General features: G+C 35.2%; 1 protein-coding gene across 1 annotated transcript in view; it reads left to right on the forward strand.

Moving 5' to 3' along the window:
• APLF (aprataxin and PNKP like factor) overlaps positions 1-22,365 on the forward strand; it is a 112,578-nt gene that overhangs the window by 87,446 nt on the left and 2,767 nt on the right. The window contains exon 9 of the mRNA NM_173545.3: positions 12,311-12,357. Coding sequence (NP_775816.1) covers positions 12,311-12,357 — 47 coding nt within the window. The remainder of the gene's footprint in view (positions 1-12,310; positions 12,358-22,365) is intronic.

Raw genomic sequence — 22,365 nt, forward strand, 5'->3', positions numbered from 1 at the left:
CAAAGATGTTTGTGTTTATAAAGTGGGGAAAGGATACCCTATTCAACAAATGGTGCATGAATAATTGGCAAGCCACATGTAGGAAAATGAAACTGGACCCTCATCTCTCACCTTATACAAAAATCAACTCAAGATGGATCAAGGACTTAAATCTAAGACCAGAAACTGTAAAAATTATAGAAGACAAAACTGGAAAAACCCTTCTAGACATTGGCTTAGACAAGGATTTCATAACCAAAAACCTAAAAGCAAGTGCAATAATAACAAAGATAAATAGCTGGGACTTAATTAAACTAAAGAGCTTTTACACAGCAAAAGCAACAGTCAGCAGAGTAAACAGACAACCCACAGAGTGGGTGAAAATCTTCACAATTTGTACATCTGACAAAGGACTAATATCCAGAATCTACAATGAATTCAAACAAATTAGCAAGAAAAAACAAGCAATCCAATCAAAAAGTAGGCTAAGGACATGAATAGACAATTTTCAAAAGAGGATATATAAATGGCCAACAAACATATGAAAAAATGCTCAATATCACTAGTGATCAGGGAAATGCTAATTAAAATGCTAATGATCAGGGAAATGCTAATCAAAATACTAATCAAAACCACAATGCAGTACCACCCTGCGCCTGCAAGAATGGCCATAATCAAAAAATGAAAAAATAATAAATGTTGGTGTGGATGTGGTGAACAGGGAACACTTCTACACTGCTGGTGGGAATGTAAACTAATACAACCACTATGGAAAACAGTGTGGAGATTCCTTAAACAACTAAAAGTAGAACTATCATTTGATCCAGCAATCCCACTACTGGGTATCTACCCAGAGGAAATGAAGTCGTCATATGAAAAAGATACTTGCACACGCATGTTTATAGCAGCACAATTTGCAATGGCAAAAACATGGAACCAACCCAAATGCGCATCAATAAACGAGTGGATAAACAGTGCAAAGAAAGTATGATGGAATACTACTCAACTGTAAGAAGGAATGAATTAATGGCACTCACAGTGACCTGGATGAGATTGGAGACTATTATTCTAAGTGAAGTATCTCAGGAATGGAAAACCAAACATGGTATGTTCTCACTCATATGTGGGAGCTAAGCTGTGAGGATGCAAAGGCATAAGAAAGAAAGATACAATGGGCTTTGGGAACTTGGGGAGAAAGTGGGAAGGGTGTGAGGGATAAAAGACCACAAATTGGGTGCAGTGTATGCTGCTCGGGTGATGGGTGCACCAAAATCTCACAAGTCACCACTAAAGAACCTACTCATGTAACCAAATACCACCTGTTCCCCAATAACCTATGGAAATAAAAAAAATTTAATAAAAAAAGGTATCTTGCCTGTCAACTAATTTATTCTTTTTGTGCTGTCCACTGCTGTTTATCAGAAGACTCACTCAGTTTAATGGATTTCATTAGTTTAAGGCACTTGTCTGAATTAGAACATTGGATACTTAATGTCCAGTGATTGCTGTTCTTCCCTCTGACTCATTCAGTTCCTCTGATGAATAATAGGATTTTATGCAGTGTGTATTCCTGTTCTTACTTGTTGAATTAAGCACTTATCTTAGAATATAAACACACTGATATGAATGGAGTCTATTTTCAACCAACTTGGTGTAAGAATGTAAAGTCACAATCATGTACCTTGCCTTGGATTACAAAACCTTAGGCTACCATGTGTCATGCAGATGAAAATGTTGGTGTCTTGATGTCTTTCAGAAGCTAGTGTCCTATTTTTTAAAATTATAATGTCTTCTGAGAGGGAAGGCCTTAGGAGGTGTGTCAGTTATCAACTATAAGTGCTCTCAGTGTAATACTGAATCTGCAACATGGCCTGTGTAGTGTGACAGAACACAATGTTTTACCACAAGCACAATTCCATTTTCTCAAGACATATATGTGATGGTGAGTAAATCAATAATTTTTTATTTGCTGATCCTGATATGATCTAAAATTTTTTGCTAGTTCCTCTTTTATTTTTGAAAAGTGTTCCAAGTTGTTGTAATGTTATCTTAATTGACAGAAAGTACAATCTGTCCCTGGTATCTGCAGGGGATTGGTTCCAGGACCCCAGGGCATACCAAAATCTGGGGATGCTCAAGTCCCTTATGTACAATAGTATAGTATTTGCATATATCCTACACACATCCTTCCATGCACTTTAAATCATCTCTAGATTCCTTAAAATACCTAATAAAATGTAAATACTATGTAATTGTTATTGTACTTTACTGTTTAGGGAACTATGACAAGAAACAAAAGTCTGTACATGTTCAGTAAGGATGCAATCATTGTAGACCTAACTACATTTTCAGTCTGCAGTTGGTTGAATCTGCAGGTGCTGAATCCAGCTATGAGGGCTGACTATATCTGCAGATGTACACTTCAAGCTGCAAGATAATGATTTTTAGAAACCACTTAACAAAAAATAAGAATGTGTGTTGTTTAGTATAAATCCAGATTATATTTCATGAAGCAAAAATAAATCTTCATAAGGAGACCTCTAGTTATCAGGTAGTTAAGATTTTCAGAATCAGTCATGTGATGCTATCAATCTATTTGTAGTTAAGAATAGTCAAAGTTGGCTGGACGTGGTGGCTCACACCTGTAATCCCAGCACTGTGGGAGGCTGAGGTGGGTGGATCACCTGAGGTCAGGAGTTCAAGACCAGCCTGTCCAACATGGTGAAACCCCATTTCTACTAAAAACACAAAAATTAGTTGGTGTGGTGATGCAAACCTGTAGTCCCAGCTACTAGGGAGGCTTAGGCAGGAGAATCACTTGAACCCGGGAGGTGGAGGTTACAGGGAGCTGAGATCGCACCACTGCACTCCAGCCTGGGCGATAGAATGAGACTCCATCTGAAAAAAAAAAAAAATAGTCAAAGTTGATAGCACCTTAATCCATTTTTATAGGTTCTGCATATATAGAAAGTAACTTATCATCATTTGCCATGCTTACAGTTCTTTAATTGTACATAAGAATATGATCTTGGAAAAAAACTATCTTAAATATTAATCACTTGCTACATAGTTTTACATAAGACTCCGCTGTAATTTTTTTAAACTTCATTTAGAAATTACAGTAACAACATCAATTATATTCATGTAGCTTTGACAAAATTTACTGGAATGTCTTCCGTGGTTTTGTTTTTCATTTAATGTGCATTAATTTTCATAATAATAAATTTGTTCTTCTTTGTTATATTTACTGTTAATTACACATATATAAAAATTTTCAGAGTTATTTTGGCATACATAGTAAATTGTAGTAATTATCAGGTAACAAAGTGAGTACTTTTTACTATTTTATGCTGGTTTACTTGTTTTTTATTTAATAAAGACCATATTTAAACATTTTCCTTTTTCTTCTAAATTTTGAAACCTAGATTTTTGATAATGTGGGATTTATGGTTTTGCTTCAGGTTTTAAAATACATATTGAATTTCAAAAATGCAAGATAAACCATTTTGTTTTGATAGGACAAAAATATAGTATGTTCATTTCTCCACTGGGTAAATATTGAGCATCTAAAATGTTCTAGTCACTGATCTAGGAGCTTATGTAAAACAGTTCTGTTTTTTTTCTCTTCAGCTTTTATTTTGATTTCTGGGGTACATGTGCAGGATGCACAGGTTTGTTACATAGGTAAACATTTGCCATGATGGTTTGCTGCACAGATCAACCCGTCACCTAGGTATTAAGCCCAGCATCCATTAGCTATTCTTCCTGATGCTCTCCCTCTGCCTACGCCCCGACCACTCACCACCGACAGGACCCAGTGTGTGTTGTTCCCCCCAGTGTGTCCATGTATTCTCATTGTTCAGCTCCCACTTGTAAGTGAGAACATATGGTGTTTGGTTTTCAAACAGTTCTTCAGGTTCATTTACAATCATGGTGTTAAGTTAGCAAATCTTTGGAAGTAAATAAAACTAAAAACTATTATTCTGTTGTTGCTACCAGTGTCTAGTTAATCTTTAGGTACTTCTTTATGACAAAGTGATAAAGTGTTTTTAAATTAGCAGACTTAGGTTCTAGTTATGGTTATGCTAATTCTGTAGCATGACTTTGCATCAGCTAGTTGATTTTCCTGGGTTTCAGTTTCTTGTGAAAACATGAAAAATACAGAGGTGGATTGCTTGTGCTCTGGGGGGTCTTGATTCACTGTGGAGAGATCTAGAGCAGAGAGCAGTGTCTTCATATTCATAAAGTCAGCTCAGTTATGTGCCTGCTACCCTTCCTTAGCCTTCTTTTCTGTCTCCTCTTTTTCTTCCCTACTTGTAAATATTGCAGAGCCACGGGGCTCAGTTCTCAGATCTCTTCCTTTCTGTTCTTATTTCTTAGGCGAGCTAATTCAATTTAATGGTTCAGATACATATGTTTAAGTGCCTCCACTTTGTGTAATAGGTAGATCAAATTTACCACCTCTAAGTCAGAACTCTTGATTTTTATCATGAAAACAACTCTTTCCCAAGTGTTCTTTACCTCTGTAAATGACTCCACCATTCACATAGTATTCAGGTGCTTCACCAAGAAGCACCTTTGACTCTTCTCTTTCCTTCACATCATTCATTCAGTCTATCAGCAGTCCTTGCCATTCCAACCTTTAAAATATATTAGGAACCTGTTCATTTCTTAGGTCCTCTACCTTTGCCCTCTACCACCCCAGTCATAACCACCATCCTCTCTTGCCTGGAATACTGCAGTAGTTTCCCGATATCCCTGTTTTCTCTTTTGTCCTCATGTAGTTCATTCTCCTCATAGCAACTGGAGCAATTCTTTAAAGATAAGTCGTTTCATGGTATCTTCTTACTCATAACTTTCCAGTGGCTTCCTATAACAAACTGTCATGGCTTACAAGTTCCCTGACTTCATTTCCTACTATTTTCATTTTTACTATACCCCTTGAAGTGTATCAATCTTCATTATGTTTTTGTGTTTTACCCAATATCCTAGCTTGTTTTCACATCAGGGCCTCAGCAAATATAAAGACATTTGCTATTTCCTCTTCCTTAAGTGTTCTTCCTTCAGATATGTGTGTGATATACCTCCTCAGAAATGCCGTCTCTGACCTCTCTACCTGTATGTTCAATCACTCTCTATATCCTTCTCTTTATTTTTCTTCATGGCAATCACTTCCTGAAATTATAAATATATATTTGTTTACTGTCTTATCCACCAGCATATAAACCCCATGAAAGCAGAAACTCTCTGCTTGTTTACTACTGACTGAGTCTCTGGAACCTAGAACAGTGCTTGGCATATAGTAGGTATTCAGTGAATTTTTATTGATAGACAGTTTGAGTGAAATGGATGGCAATAGGACTGTTTTATTTATTTCTATTTAAACATGGTTTGTAGGAGCATCATCAGGAAATATTAGGGTCAAATTTTCCATTGGTTTATTATAATTACAAAGATTTATAACTTTGTCATAATGGAAAAATTTATAAACTACTATGTTCCTTACAGTATTTAAATAAGCTATTACCTAAACTTTTTGTTACTTATGCACCTACATCATTAAAATCAGAATAATGTTTTTGAAAATACATATTTTAAAATACAGCAGCTCACAAAAATCTGATGTGGTTATGGTTATATAGCTTTATGTTTAGATCTCAAACTGTTAATAATTAACAATGAAAAAAACAAAAAGGACTTTGAGACCGGCTGAGTTACAGAAAATGCCATTTGAGAAAAAGGTTGATGTAAATCTTTTATGAATGAGCTCTGATTAAGTAATCCTCTTCATTGTTAGGAAAAAGATCTGGTGGAATTTGGCATTGCCCTTGAAAGTTATTTCAAATGCTCGTATTCCCCCAAAGAGTTGTACAGAGTTGCCATTTAGCTTTGACTTAGAGTTACATGCAAAAGGTATTTTGCCTTGTTATGAAATAACTGACTTTCGAAAATGGAATATGCATAGACAGATGTTAGAAAATATTATATAAATGTGTGAGATATGACAGGGAAAATATTCAGCAGGAATTTTATATATTATTGAAGGAAAAATTCAGCTATTTAATATTAATTGACAGTGACTTTTACCAGCACATAGGATTTCTAGCCATTGTTGAATATCCTAAAGTAAAATTGATTTTTATGTCTATCTGAATAACTGATATCTCTAAAATGCTTAATAGCATGCAGATTTTTATACACACTACTTTAACCCTTGGAACAATCTTATGTGAGGTAGACAGTGTTATCCCTCCTTTTCAGATGAGGAAAGAGAGTTGGTTCAAAGGAGTTGCTGTAACTTGTACAACCAATAAACAGTGGAGTTTGAATTAGGCTCAGCTCTCCTGATCTTGAAATCTGAGCCCCTTTCACAACATAATGCTAGTGATCCAAAGTTTAAATTGCCAGATGAGAACAGGCCCAAGACACTGTGGCATCTACATCTTCAGCATTTGTGGAGGACTCTTGGTGTTTCTGGTTGAACTGAGTGATTGATTGACTAGAGCTAAGTGTCTTACAATGCGGAGCAGTCTGTATCTCAGGAATCTGATTGCAATAGAGTCTGATTAATATGAGTGTCATATTTTCATTGTTTCCTGAGGAAGTAATGTGCGTTGTTAATGGCAGGAAATTCTGACATATTTTAGTCTTGGGTTTGTGTAAGAAGATTTAATGAGTACTTTGATTATTAACTTTATAGGTGTGAGTGCAGAGCGATTTCAGCACATTGACAGTATCTTTAACCTGATAAGAATAGCCATTCCCTGGAACATATCCCACAGAAAAACTGTTTTTCAAAGGGTAGATTTCTGAAAATCATTGGAATCTATAGATTAGGGTTTACTAAAAATAAAAAATTATAAGTGTTAGCATTAACTCGAGAAAGTTTTAGTCCAGAAATTATTAGAAACTGTTTTTTGTACTCCAACCAATGAGAATTTTAAACTTCTGGTTTGTGTTGCAAATGATGGAATCCATGTAAGTGTCCATCAGTGGATGAAGGGGTAAAGAAAATGTGGTATATATACACAATGGAATACAATTCAGCCTTAGAAAAGATGGAAATGATACCGTTTGTGATAAGGTAGATGAACCTAGAGAACATTATGTTAAGTGAAATATGCCAGGCACAGAAAGGCAGTTACCACATGGTATCACTTATATGTGGAATCTAAGAACTTCCCACTCATAGAAGCAGAATAGTGGTTACTAGAGGCTGGAAGGAGGGGTGGGTTGGAGAGGTATTGGTCAAAGGATACAAAACTCATTTTGAAAACTTATGTGTAAGCTTAATTTAAAACATGTTTTTGAAGGAAAAAGGTTGATTATATTCTAATAGATGGACTGATCTGTGAAAAATGTAATTGAAAACCAGCTGGAGAGAGATACTTTTGTAGGTGCTATGAAAGATATTAAAAAGTTTAAGAAAAATCTCATGCCCTCCAGCCGCTGATTTGACAGATGATAGAGATAATGCATACATGTGCAAGTGTGTGTTTGTATGTGTGCTGAAAATTTAGATGACAGGACAAGAAATGACATGGTAGGTACCAAGTGGTAAATATAGACAATATATTCTGGAGCTATTTCCCAGTGATTATTAAAGTTACTTTCATGAAAGCGATATGATTTGAACTTAGGTAGTAGTATAGAGTTAGAAGAATATACTTGGCAAAAAAGCTATGAACAAGTTCATAAAAATGGGGAAGAATCACAAAGTACTCCCCTAGAGTAGAAACAAAAGATTGAGCTGCTAATAATTGGCACTGAGATTATGAAGGACCTTGAAGGAAAAGATAATTTAAGAATGTAGCTTTTGAAGACTCAATTTAGCATTTAAATTTTTATGTAAACCAAACATATCTAAAATTTGTTTTTGAGTGTGTGATTTTGTGTGTGATAAACTATCTTTTCTGTTTGGGCTCATTTTCTTGTTAAAGTCCATCTATTCTGTGAGTTCTGTTTACCATCAAAGAGAATAAATACCCCAACAGCAAATTTTTGAGCCTGTCATAGATACTCTTTTCCTTCATTTTCAGTGAAATAGCTGGCAAAGTTTTATCGATATTATTTCTTTTGCTTTAGGTTGGAAGTTCAGTGTCCAGTTGAAAAACACCAACTCAGCTAGTTTCTTCTGGTCTGCATTACAGTATTTTACCTGTCTTTTTATGAAAAGAGCACGTTCTAGGAAAGGATGGAAGATTCTCAAAGAAACAACTTTCCCCTTCTAAGGCAGATGAAAACCTGTACATGTACCTAACATTTTTTCCCCTTTTTAAAATATAAAATTTCACATTACATTTTCTGCTCTTCCTTTTTGGAATAATTAAATGTAACACTTCTTTCATAGTTATTTGCTCATTTATTCTGAAATGACTTGCCTTTTCCTAAGTAGGATGTGAGGTTGGTGGATGCAGATGGTGCATGCGAGTGCAACTGGGAATGTTTTCCAGGATAATAGAGAATGAGGAACTACCTTCTGAAACTTTTAAGTTGAACCCCACTCCCCCACTTTGTGATACTCTGTCTTCACTTTCTCTTCTTAAAAAGTTACTCTCCTTTTTAATCTTTCTAGCCTGACAACTGATGTCAGCAGTTGTTTAATCGGTATTTGGTGCTTAAACCATACTTGAGTCTCTAACTCCTTAGGTTTCATTACTGTACTTTATTTAAAAAGCCTGACATTTAGTTACTTGAGCATTTCTAAAGCAGCTTTTGAAGTAGCAAACAATTAAGACCATATTCAACTTTTCAATGATCCTACTTAACTGTTAAGGGCAAAGCAGGAAAAGAGAACTGCTTGGTACCCGAAGCAAACATATATTAAAAGAAGGAGGAAAAGCCTTAATCTCAAATGATTATAGATAGATAATAACAGTAAGACACCCATATAGAATGTTAACACTTGAAAAATCTTGATGAAGATATATGGAATTTCAGTGTACTAGTCTTGCCTGCTTTTTAAAGTAGGTATGAAATTTTTTCAAAATAAAATTTACTGAAAATCTCAAATGACTAGTAACCATTTTTTCTAAAGTAAAGATGAAAAATATCTTTGGTATTAATGTTCCCCATTTTTATCTTTCTCCGTTCCTGATGCCCAGCACTAATTATACTTTAATAAAGACTGAATTTAATTAAGTCAGTGACCTGCACCAGCATGGTCAGTAGGAAAGATCTTCCCACAAATCGTCACCATAGCTTTGTTCATTTGCAGCTGTCTTCATCACAACTAAGTTGTACAGCTTATTTTATTTTCAAGTTTAAATTTCTTTTTCATCAAAAGGTCAAATTTGGGTTAGTTATGCTAAACACACAATCTTGTATAGAATCTTTTTTCCAGTTTTCAAAGCTGTTGAATTAGGACCTTAATTAACTGTGGAGTTACACTTTTGCACTGTGTTTAATACTTGCATTGTAGGAAAAGTTACCAGAAAGAAGAGAGATTAGGGATGAGTGTCACACTGACACAAGGCCTGGCATGTAATAAGTATTCTGTAACTGTTTCTTGAGCTAATAATGAAGGGATCAAAGGCTAACATTATTTATTTAACACCTACCAAGCCCTTAGATTAAAGACTTATTTTGCATTATCTCATGAATCCTCACAACAGCTTCTTGTGAGTATGGGTTCTGTTGTTATCTCCCTTTTACATGTGGGAAAACTGAAGCTCAGACAGCGTGCAGGGAGGTGGCTGAGTCAGGATTCCAATGGGGTCTTTCTGACTATAGTCACTAACCTCATACTTTCAATCATAGCATTTCTACCTATAGAATGTTTACTTCGTTTGAGAGTCACTTCATAAGAAAGAGGGTGTTTGGCTGTGGTTTGAGAAGGATTAATTGTAATTAATCTTGGCTGAGGAGAGAGGATCACTCTTTTCTTGGTTTTTGAATTAAAACTGTTGTCCAATATGATAGCCACTAGCCACATGTGGCTGTTTACATTTAAATATGAATTAACTAAATACAATTTAAAATTCATTTTCTCAGCTTTGTTACCCATATTTCAAGTGCTTAACAGTCACATACAGTTAGTGGTTTTATTGGACAACACAGAGCAAATTTCCCTCATGACAAAAAGTTCTGTTGGATAGCATTACAAAGATTCCAGGGTTATCAGTTGAAACTCTTGAAAGTAACACTAGTTAAAACCTATCTCGGAAAATAGATTTCATGATTATCACAGCTCTCAAAAGCAATAACACTCTATTTTTCTTGGTTTTATCAAGTAATTTAAATTTATGTATTTATAATACTTCCTATTGCCCAACAAATTATGATGGAGGGACAGGAAATTAGGATGGGCTCAATGACCCCATACCTGCAGTCCTAGCTGTACTCAAGAGGCTGAGGTGGGAGGATCACCTGAGCTCAGGAGTTTGAGGCTGAAGTGAGCTATGATTGTGCCCTGCACTCTAGCCTGGATAACAGAGTGAGACCTGTCTCTAAGACAGATGGATTGATGGATGGATGGATAGTTAGATAGACAGATAGACAGATAGATACATACATACATACATACATACATACATACATACATACATAGATAAAAGAAGTTAATATTTGGAGCAAATATAGTAGGCAGTGCTGGAAACAAGAAGACAAATATTTTTCAAGCAGATGGTTCTATGTTGTTAGAAATTATTTTACTTTGTTTACCAATATCACAATAGTATCGAAGGCACGGAGGAAAAAATGCAATATTTTTAAAGTATAATTTTTATTATGAAATATTTTAAACACACTATACTTTTTTAAATGGTGAAAAAGCAGTTGGATACATTTTTTTACAATAGACTCATAAAGGAATTTATAAGTGGAAAATTTAATCGCCTGATTATTTCAGAGATATTTTAAGAATGTAGTCCATAATTTTGCCTGGACGTCTTTCTTAATATGTTCGTTACCCAAGTTGGAAAGCACAAACCTGGGGGTGAACTTCATCTCCTTAGGCTCACATTGCTCATCTGTCACCTGGAGGAGGCAAGTATCTGCTCTGAGATCATTCCTAGTACATATTTACATCCTATGACTCATAGACTAGGTTCGGGGCTAGAGATCCACTTCCTGAGACTGGCCATTTTTCTCCACTGCAGTAGATGTGGAATTATAAAGTTGAATGGGAGGATTTATAGAAAAATTTAAAGTCATATTTTACCTGTTATATACTTTTTAAAAATTGCCTTACTTGCCCTATTGAAAAGAAAGAAAATGAAGAACGAATGTTATTTAGCCTGAGAAAGAGAAGATTTAAGGCTTGACTTAGTTCCTGTGCCCTAAAAGATATATTATAAGGAGTATTTCCTATCTTCACAGAAGATGTTCTTATTTTTCAGTGAAGAAAGTGCTTCTTTAATGTCTACCTTGCTCCTGCCCCCAGACTCTGTCTCCTTAGGGGCAAGAATGTGTATCTGGTTAAATATTTTATCCTCATTGCCTGCTTAGAGCCGGAATATAGTGAAACATTCAGCCAATACTTGCTGAATGAACAAATGAACATTTGTCATGTAAAAATAATCACTCCTGACACAGGTATATTCGAAAGTTGTCACCTCAGCACATATCTGTTGTTAGTGTACCCCAGCTGTGCTTTGTCAGTTCCCTAAGAAAGGGGTACCAGTCAGTTTGGTCATGATGAATCTGTTGCCTTGGATTTTACTGCTGGGATATTTGGAGAATGTCTTGTACATATAGGGTACCCAAACATTTGTTTAACTAACAAAATAATAGAAGGGATCATAAGTACGTATAATCAAAAATAGATCTTCAAACACTTTTTGTTTGATTCCAGAATATGTTTTTTTTGTTTGACTTCAGAATATGTTATCTGAATTTATCAACAAAATTAACTTTTGTGTTTTTTCATAACAAGTGATTGGTGTTCTTTTGAAAGAATACTGTTTTCTTTAGATTCAAGAAGAGCCTTAGAATTTTTTAATACTGTAGGCACATATGTACTTAATACATATTTGATATTTGTGTCATAGTTTTGGATTCTATTTTATATTTGCATATATGTGATACATGACAGTTTAAAAATATGATATATTATGGAAATATATATTTTGTCTTTTCCCTCTTTCTAGAGTATAAGTTCTTGAGGTAAGAACTTTGTCTTCTTCATCACTCTATCTTTGCATCTAGAAATGTGCTTGGCATGGAGTAGGCACACAGGAAATATTGTAATTAAACAACAAATGCTTTTTCATAAGAGGCCTATTGGGTCCTAAGTTTATTTGTAAGTTAGTCAGTGTTCTGGTTTAGTGTAAATAGTCATCAACTTTTAGTAATTGGAAGACTAGCTCTTATTTTTGCATTCTTCTTTCAGGAAGAATCCCCAGCACAAGATAGAATATAGACATAATACGCTTCCAGGTAAGTAAGTTTACTTCAGAAAATTCAAAATGAAACCTTTAAATGATTTTCCTATTAAACCTAGTTTCCAGTTATTATGAAAATATTTTAAAATCTCTGCTTCTGTGAATTTGTTGAATTGCTGATTTTAATGATTTTTCTTATATTAAAAAAAAACACAACTGTGACCCTTTTGTATAGCAAATGCTTTCCCCATTGTCCACAATATATATTTGCCTTGTATCTCTTAGGATTCTTTTGTTTGCAAGTACCTGAAAGCAAAATCTCAAACTGGCCTAAATGATAATTGACTTCTGTAACTAAAACGTCCAGAGCTAGGGCTGGATTTAGATAAGCTATATTGCTTTGGCTCATTAATAATGTCAATAGTGTCCCCAAAGACCCAATTTTTTCCTTCATTCTGTCTTTAGAGGGGTCATTATCATCCTAAGGCTGGCTCCTCTTCCAACGAGGGACTTTATGTGTCCTTATTCAGCTGGGACGATAATCACCCGTAAGGAATACAAACAACTTTGACCCTCATGATTCCTAGGAAAAATCAGAAAATTCACTTTTTATTACTGGATTAGATCACAGTCTTAACCTTGATCCAATCACCATGGCCACTGATTAGTTTGTACCGCTCCTGAAACCAGAATGGAGTCACCTTCATCAGAACCATAGCCATCTCCAATAAAAGCTAGAGCTTTGAGGAAGAGAGGAGGGGGAGAGACACCAGAGAAGCAACCATCAAATGTCCTTCTGTCCTACTTACCTCAATCTGTTTTACCTTCTGTTTGTTATGCTTCTAAACTGTATTTTTCTTCTTTAATAAAATCTGGCTTTTTCATATCATTCATATAATACAGAGGCTGATTCAGCGCATAATATTTCTGCTCACAGAATGAGAAAATAAAATGCATACTATCCAGGCTGCACTCACTTGCATTTATATGTGCATACAAACAGCTGACTTGTAATCAAGTAAGTGATGAAAGTAAATGATTTCACTGTAAGGGAATTCCATTTGACATTTCTTATTGAAACACACTTTAGTGCTTTAGTACTCCAGACATAAAAATATTCCCTTTATCTGAGCTAACATAGTATGGAGGTTACATGTTATATATTATACTTTCTTTACTGTGGTCATATCTCATGGTGTGGCAGTTATGGTAGTTTAATAAAGTCTTCCTTTCTAGAAATAATGTAATTGTATTTGATTAAAAGTATATATTGTTGACAAATTATAGCATTGTCCCATGCAAGAGCATTTGACACATTTATATAACTTTATAGAAATAGGAAATATTTATCTAAAAACTATGACTACACATCATATAGCATAGTTAAAAATATCTGAATTTTTGTTGAAAAATTTCTTGAAATTATTGAAGTATTTTTTGAATGAAGAACATATTTTAGGACAATTAACTTTTTAAAGGAAAACTTTATTGAAAAGCATTTTTAATAGAAGTATAGATATTTTAAAGGAATAAGTTTAAGGCTATAGGTTTAGTCATATTTTTAATGTACTTTCAAAAGTTGCTATGTGGCAATATAGTCAGAACATCTCTTACCCTACAAAACCTAAAAATTGGGGATTTTGAGTATTTCAAATATTAAATGTTGAGGTATCATTGTATTTTTCTGATTTAGAGATATCTAATACAGAATTCTAACATACTTGTTTTTCTTGTATCCCAAATCATTAAAATTTAACAGTACCCCCAAATGTTAATCTCAGCTATGTATTGATTCATTTACTCACACATTCACATATTCCTTTGTTGAATGTCTTCCATGTGAGCAAAGCTACAGAGAGATGAGAGCCGGCTCGTAATTGTGGTTATGGGAACCAGCTCTGGGTCTCCCAACTTGCCGTGAGATGCTCTGAAATCTCCAGGGAAAGGGAGGGAGTACTTTCTGCTGGGGATTATCAGGTAGACTTGATATGAGAATTTTAAGTAAAAGTTGGCCTTTAAGATGGTAGGATTTCAGTCACCTTTGTTTCTTTGCTGTGTGGGAGATTGGTATAGGACATCACAGGCAAAGTGAGAAATAGATCAATCAAAGACATCAAGGTAGAAGTGTTGTAGTTGGAGTTAGCAAGTGGATCATTTTAATTGATGTGGAAAGTCTCTATAGCTACTGTGGCTGATGCTAAAAGGGTGTATTGAAGCTAGATTATGGAAGCTCTCAACAGCCAGACCAAAGACATGGGCACTTTGGCAAATAATGATGAGCCAATATTTTACCAAAATCAAGCTGGTGAATACAGTTTGAATTAGAGAAGGGGAAGCCTGGAGATTAGTTAGGTAGAATAAAGGGTTAGAACTAGGGCGGCCATCATGAACATGGAGAGGTTGGATTGGATACAAGAGGGATTTTTGAAGGATGAATCAAGAGGATTTACCAACTAATCAGTTGGCTGTGATATGGGGATGAGGTAAATGAAGTCAGGATGACTCAGGATTATAGTACACATTATCAGGAGACTGGAGAAGACACATGATAGAGAATAGGGTGAACTGGGGAGTTTTGTTGTTTTTGCTTTCATTTAAACATGTTGAATTTGAGGTGGGGGTATCATAAGAACATATATAACAAGATAATACAATTATTAATATAGTGCCAACATTAAAATAACTACATTAAATTCTTACTCTTTAATTTCTGATTTGTAATACCCCTAAAACACTTTCATCTATAGGGTTCTTCTATACATGTAACAGTTTATATAGTGCATTCTGTTTCTTGTAGGTTGGACTCCTGTCATTTGTTAAGTTTCTTGTATATATAATTGGTTTAAAATTTTATTTAAGTCTCCACACTTTTTCGAGTGCTACAATTTTTGCACAAGTTATTGAATGCAAAAGTAACCAGTACCAGGAAGATTTTGTTTTATTCTTTTTTTTTTAATATATATATATATTTTTATTATGCTTTAAGTTCTAGGGTACATGTGCACAGTGTGCAGGTTTGTTACATATGTATACATGTGCCATGTTGGTGTGCTGCATCCATTACCTCATCATTTACATTAGGTATATCTCCTAATGCTATCCCTCCCCCACTCCCCCCACCCCACAACAGGCCCCAGTGTGTGATGTTCCCCTTCCCATGTCCAAGTGTTCTCATTGTTCAGTTCCCACCTATAAGTGAGAACATGTGGTGTTTGGTTTTTTGTCCTTGCGATAGTTTGCTGAGAATGTTGGTTTCCAGCTTCATCCATGTCCCTGCAAAGGACATGAACTCATCCTTTTTTATGGCTGCATAGTATTCCACGGTGTATATGTGCCACATTTTCTTAATCCAGTCTATCATTGTTGGACATTTGGGTTAGTTCCAAGTCTTTGCTATTGTGAGTAGTGCCGCAGTAAACATATACGTGTGCATGTGTCTTTATAGCAGCATGATTTATATTCCTTTGGGTATATACCCAGTAATGGGATGGCTGGGTCAAATGGTATTTCTAGTTCTAGATCCCTGAGGAATTGCCACACTGTCTTCCACAATGGTTGAACTAGTTTACAGTCCCACCAACAGTGTAAAAGTGTTCTTGTTTCTCCATATCCTCTCCAGCACCTGTTGTTTCCTGACTTTTTTATGATTGCCATTCTAACTGGTGTGAGATGGTATCTCATTGTGGTTTTGATTTACATTTCTCTGATGGCCAGTGATGATGAGCATTTTTTCATGTGTCTGTTGGCTGCATAAATGTCTTCTTTTGAGAAGTGTCTGTTCATATCCTTCACCCCCTTTTTGATGGGGTTGTTTTTTTTTCTTGTAAATTTGTTTGAGTTCTTTGTAGATTCTGGATATTAGCCCTTTGTCAGGTGAGTAGATTGCAAAAATTTTTTCCAATTCTGTAGGTTGCCTGTTCACTCTGATGGTAGTTTCTTTTGCTGTGCAGAAGCTCTTTAGTTTAATTAGATCCCATTTGTCAATTTTGGCTTTTGTTGCCATTGCTTTTGGTGTTTTAGACATGAAGTCCTTGCTTATGCCTATGTCCTGAATGGTATTGCCTAGGTTTTCTTCTAGGGTTTTTATGGTTTTAGGTCTAACATTTAAGTCTTTAATCCATCTTGAATTAATTTTTGTATAAGGTGTAAGGAAGGGATCCAGTTTCAGCTTTCTACATATGGCTAGCCAGTTTTCCCAGCACCATTTATTAAATAGGGAATCCTTTCCCCATTTCTTGTTTTTCTCAGGTTTGTCAAAGATCAGATAGTTGTAGATGTGTGGTGTTATTTCTGAGGGCTCTTCTGTTCCATTGATGTATATCTCTGTTTTGGTACCAGTACCATGCTGTTTAGGTTACTGTAGCCTTGTAGTATAGTTTGAAGTCAGGTAGCGTGATGCCTCCAGCTTTGTTCTTTTGGCTTAGGATTGACTTGGCAATGCAGGCTCTTTTTTGTTCCATATGAACTTTAAAGTAGTTTTTCCCAATTCTGAAGAATTTTATTCTTTTTTAGCTGCCTCACCTGTTGACAACATTTAAAGGAAATTATCATCAATATTTTATCTAATTATTGGGGTCCTCCTTTCTGGCCTCTATTATTATGTGATATGTATTATTCTAGGTGATTGATACCATTTGTGAAAATTTAGAATGTTCCACTGATAGCTACTTTAAGGTTTCTCTATTTCTACAATTGTATACATGTATGTGCTTATATATACTTTTTTATTCAGAAGTTGAAACTAAAAGATCCAGAAAGAAAACTATTAAGGAGGCTTAGTGGGATTTACATGAAATTCTATAAACTGCTGCTTAATGTGTGGAAAGCTAAGAGAATATGGAATATGAGAAAGCCTGATGCAATGGAATTATAAAAAGAAATGAACTTTATATATAATAAAGTAGATCAGAAATATACAAAATAAAATATGAATACCAACTAGTTGCTTAGTGCATTTAAAAAAATTACTCTTTAATAGTAAAATGAAGCGTTATTAAAAATGTTTGTTCTTGTAGATATAGTAAATTTTCATCTTTAGGAATATTGAGGCAAAATATTTATTTACTTAATAAAAATTAACATCCTAATTAGTCCTAAGATTTAATAGAAAGTAAAAGAAAAGAAAACATGAAGAATTATCAATGTTAAGCTATTAATCTGCTGTGAAGCACCTGTCATCTTAGATGTAACACCAAAAAACTTTGGTAAAAATCTGCAGTTTGGCTGGGTGTGGTGGCTCATGCCTATAATCCCAGCACTCTGGGAGGCCAAGGCAGGAGGATCGCTTGAGCCCAGGAGTTCATGACCAGCCTGGGCAACAGAGTGAGACCACATCTCTACAAAAAATAAAAAAAATTAACCAGTTGTGGTGATGGGCACACCTCTGTTCCCAGCTACTTGGGAGACTGAGGTGGGAGTATCACTTGAGCCCAGGATGTCAAAAATGCAGTGAGCCGTGATTGTGTCACTGCACTCTACCCTGGGCAACAGAGCAACACTCTGTCTCAACAAAACAAAACAAAACAAAACACTGCAATTTGAAAAGATTTTTCTCCATGCAAAATCAACATTTCTTCTGGCATGTATGTCACACAGTATACTCTGCAGTAGTTTGAAGACTTAGTTCTTGGGATAAGAACTAACAGTGAAATTTTAAATTGTAAAAGAAATATCAGAAAAACATTTAGAATTGTCATTCTCATATTACAAATTCCTCTGCATATATAAAAAAATCAGAAATTACCACATTCTAATCCCATATAGTAAATAATATGTTGTTTTAAACATGTTAAAGAGTTTATTATTTTTTCTAAAAGTTATTTTTCATCACCATGGTAGATCAGCATTACCCATCAGGGTTTACAAACCAGTGACAGCTTATTTCTCCAGTGCTGGCTTCAAGTAGTCAAGCTGTCAATCCCTGTCCACATTTCATTTTACTTCACTGATTTGTAGAGAAAATAAAGGTTCCTGTTGTGGCCTTAAAATTAGAACTCTGGAGTTAGAAATATCTTTGTGATCATTTAATGTTTGATGTGTAGTTTAAAAAGTAATTTCCGGCCAGGCACAGTGGCTCACACCTGTAATCCTAGCACTTTGGGGGGCCGAGGCGGGTGGATCACCTGAGGTCAGGAGTTCAAGACCAGCCTGACCAAAATGGTGGAACCCCATCTCTACTAAAAATACAAAAAGTAGCTGGGCGTGGTGGCGGGGGCCTGTAATCCCAGCTACTCAGGAGGCTGAGGCAGGAGAATCGTTTGAACCCGGGAGACAGAGGTTGCAGTGAGCCGAGATTGTGCCATTGCACTCCAGCCTGGGCAACAAAGCGAGACCTTGTCTCAAAAAAAAAAAAAAAAAAAGTAATTTCCATTAGGTTAAGTGACTTGTTCATTGTCATGAGTTCATTTATAACACAGATAGTTGGACTTCTAACCCCTGGTCTAGTCCTCTTTCTCTTAAACTGTGCTATTTTAAAGAGTCTTTTTGTTGGGTAAGATGTGAATGCACATTATCACATAACATGTCCTAATGATATCTCAATAAGACAGTTTCCTTTCAGATTCAGAAATCACTTAACAGCTTTACAATAAAAACAGATAAAAAGCCGGAACAACTTCAGGTTCTCATAGACAATCAAATGAGAGCAGCAGTAACTAGCAGGAAGAAATTTATAAGCATTCTAGGCAAAAATAGAGAAAAGACTTATTTCTTTCAAGTTTACCTGGACTTAGAAGTGTTAACCCAAATTAAAAAAAAAAAAAAAGGAAGCTTTCTAAGATAAATTTACTTGGGAATATTGTAATGAGAATACGTGTGTTATTGTAAAAATCAGTATTCAGAGTATTTTCCAGGTAAGTAAAGTTTAATTTTTTTTTTTGGCCCAGTTACACTGAAAGGCAGAATTGGATATTTCTCTAAAAACACCTTCAGACTCTACTAGCAATTTTTTAAAAAGGAAAGTCATCTAGGTAGCATTTGTTTTATATAACATTTAAAGTTATTAATTGAATTTTCCACAGTATAATCTATTAAATAATTGGTCCCACAAAGATAATCACATGTCAGCATTTATAACCCTGTTATGAAGGATCTGTGTGACACCACTAACAGGACACAGAGCTGAATTCTAGAGCTGACTTTGTGCTCATGTCATGACTTGGCTCTTCAAGTGTTTTCACTTAAAGTATAAAAGTACCTGTTCATGTGAGTTAAGGTGGATTACATTTGGCTACTAGCCACGTTGAATTCTGTTACAGATGGTTTTGTTAGATTCTGGACTTCCTGTAAGAAGAACATGAATGTGTAAAGGTAAACATAAAATGTAAGTGATGACAGATATAAACTTTTTTCTGAGTAAACAAACAAAATTCTTCCGATTAATGTGGTCTTACTGCCTCAACAAATGAGGCTTCTTAATAAGTTGCTAAATATTTCCAGGGTTCACTGAGGCTTCATTTAGCAGAATTAAAGTCTTTTATGTAATTCATTATATTGACTGGCAGGCTAGTGATCAAAAGTGTAGGCTAAAATAAGAGTTTCTGTAAAACTAAAGATGTTCAGTAGTTGATTTGCAAATGGTTCATTTATTCATTCATTGATATATTCAACAAATATATTTATTAAGTGCTCCCACATGTTAAGCGCTGTTGTCTGAGCTAAGGACACAGTAGAAACAAAGCCCTGCTCTTGCAGAATTGTACACAGATGGGCAGTGGACACACAAGCAATTATTTGTTGTCATGTGTTGATAATTAGAAGAAAAATAAGCTGTGTAGGAGGACAGAATAGCAAGGGTGTGTACATGGTATGGGGAATGCCATGTCAGGATGGTAAAAGAAGCACTCTGATAATTTGACATTGGAGCCAAAGCTTGGAGGAGGGAGCAAGCCAGGTGATTATCTAAGGAAGAATATGCCAGGCGTTGGGAATCATGAATTTAAAATCCCTGGTGATGACCATGCTTGGACTGTTCTAGGAATAGCAAAGAGCAAATAGAATTGGAACAGTGTGAGTAAACAGAATGGCATAGGATGAGATCAGAAAACTACCAGTGGGCTAGTTGAGTAGAGTCTTCAAAGCTGAGACCTGTAAATAAAGACTTTAGATTTTATTTAGAGTGAGACAGAAAGCTATTGGAAGGTTTTCTGACTTTTTTTTGTGAAGAATAGACTAGAATGGAAGCAAGAGAGCCAGTTAGGAGGATATTGTATTCAGGAAGAAAATGATAGTATTGGGGCCAGGGCATTAGAGTGGATGTGATCAGAAGTGGTGGATTTACTTTGCAGGTAAAGCTAACAGGATCTCTTGAGGTATTAGATGTTGGGTTCTCGGTGAGGGATATTAAAGGATGACTACAAGATTTCTTGCTAAAACAACTAGATGGTTGGATGATTAGAGAAGTCATATATTCAAGACTGATAAATAGAATGACCAGATCTGGGTAAAGCAACTAAAGAGTTATGTTCTGGAAATGTTATATTCCAGGTGCCTGTAAGTCATCCAAGTACAGATAATGCTTAAGTATCCAGATAAATGAGTCTGGAATTCAGGGCAGTAGGTCAGGGCTTAAGATGTGAATTTGGGAATTTAGGACATAAGACTGGATGGAATCATCTAAGGAGTGAGTTAGAGAAGAGGTTCCAGCTCTAAAATTTAGAGATTAGGATGATGAGGAAAATCCAGCAAAGAAAACTGAGAAGGAGCAGCCAATGAAGTGAGCAGAGAACCTGGAGTTGTTTCACCTTTATATCTGTTTTTCTTGTAAAGCTGGTAAGTGATTTCTGAATCTGAAAGGAAACTGTTTATTGAGATATCATTAGGACATGTTATGTGATAATGTGCATTCACATCTTAGAAAAAAAAGTTATGTGTATAAGGTATTTCCAAGAGGAAAATAGACAAAAATAGAGATATTGATGTTCTTTCCTTCTCATTCCCTTTCCCGACTGCAAACTGCCTTCCAATTTTTAAAAAATGCATTTTATTATTTTAAAAATATGGGTAACTGAGATTAGACATAAAACATGCCCTCAAGATGTTTACAGGAGCTGTATATACAGATATATGTAATGCAAGATTTTCCTTAAGGAACTGGTGAGCTTCCTACTATAATGATAATTGGGCAAGTTATTATATTGCCTTTTTAGCCTTGGCTACCAAGAATCTTGGGGATAAATTTGATGCTCTATTTTTAATAATTGTGTTAAAAATTGAGGTTATCATATGTGTATTCTGCTTTTTATGTTTTTGGTTTCTACCTTTATTAGCATTTTATTATTATAAGCTGTCTCAAATCCTTTCTGGAATGCGTACTGATATTAAGAAAAATATAAATATATTGGGCTATAAGGGTTAAAAGGACAGATACATTACTTCCTTTGTCATTTTTCTCATTTTTCCCAATTCATTGACTTTATTTTTAAAATTATAACTATATGTTGCATGTGAACATTTTAGAAAGATGTTAACCAAAGTGTATACTAAAGTACAGACATTAATGTTTTTAACCTATACATTTGCTGTTCATTAGGGACTGTCCTCTGCCATTCAGATTTCTAGATGAAATCTTCCTAATTGTTTCTTAAATGTTCCACACTGTCCTAGAGTCTTTCACTGCTTTATTTTAAAGCAACTCTGTAGCTCGCTGTGGAAAGAGTAAGATCGGGGAAGAAATGAATTTGGAGACAGAAGAATTCTAGTATTATAATATTACTTAGAAATCTGTAAATTCTAATGTCTATTATTATGGCATTCCTAGTCTTACTGAAACATGAACTGTAAGAATATCTTAGACCTATAAAACTAAACTTTCCAAAGTATCTAAGCTCACGCCCTGATGTGTCAGCAAGCTTTTGCTAGGTTTGCTGTGATAACAAACATTTCTAAATTTCAGTGCCTTATAACAATAAATACACTTATTTAAGTGTATTTCTCCTTATTGCAGCTGTGAATTGGCTGTGGCCCTGTGCCATGTGTATTCTCATCTTGGAATCCAGGCTGAGGGATCAGCCTCTATCTGGGACATGCTGTTCTTGTGGCAGAGGGGAAATGGCAATAGCAGAAC

Source organism: Homo sapiens, chromosome 2 (genome assembly GCF_000001405.40).
Source record: "Homo sapiens chromosome 2, GRCh38.p14 Primary Assembly".
In the NCBI taxonomy this organism is placed as follows: domain Eukaryota; kingdom Metazoa; phylum Chordata; class Mammalia; order Primates; family Hominidae; genus Homo; species Homo sapiens.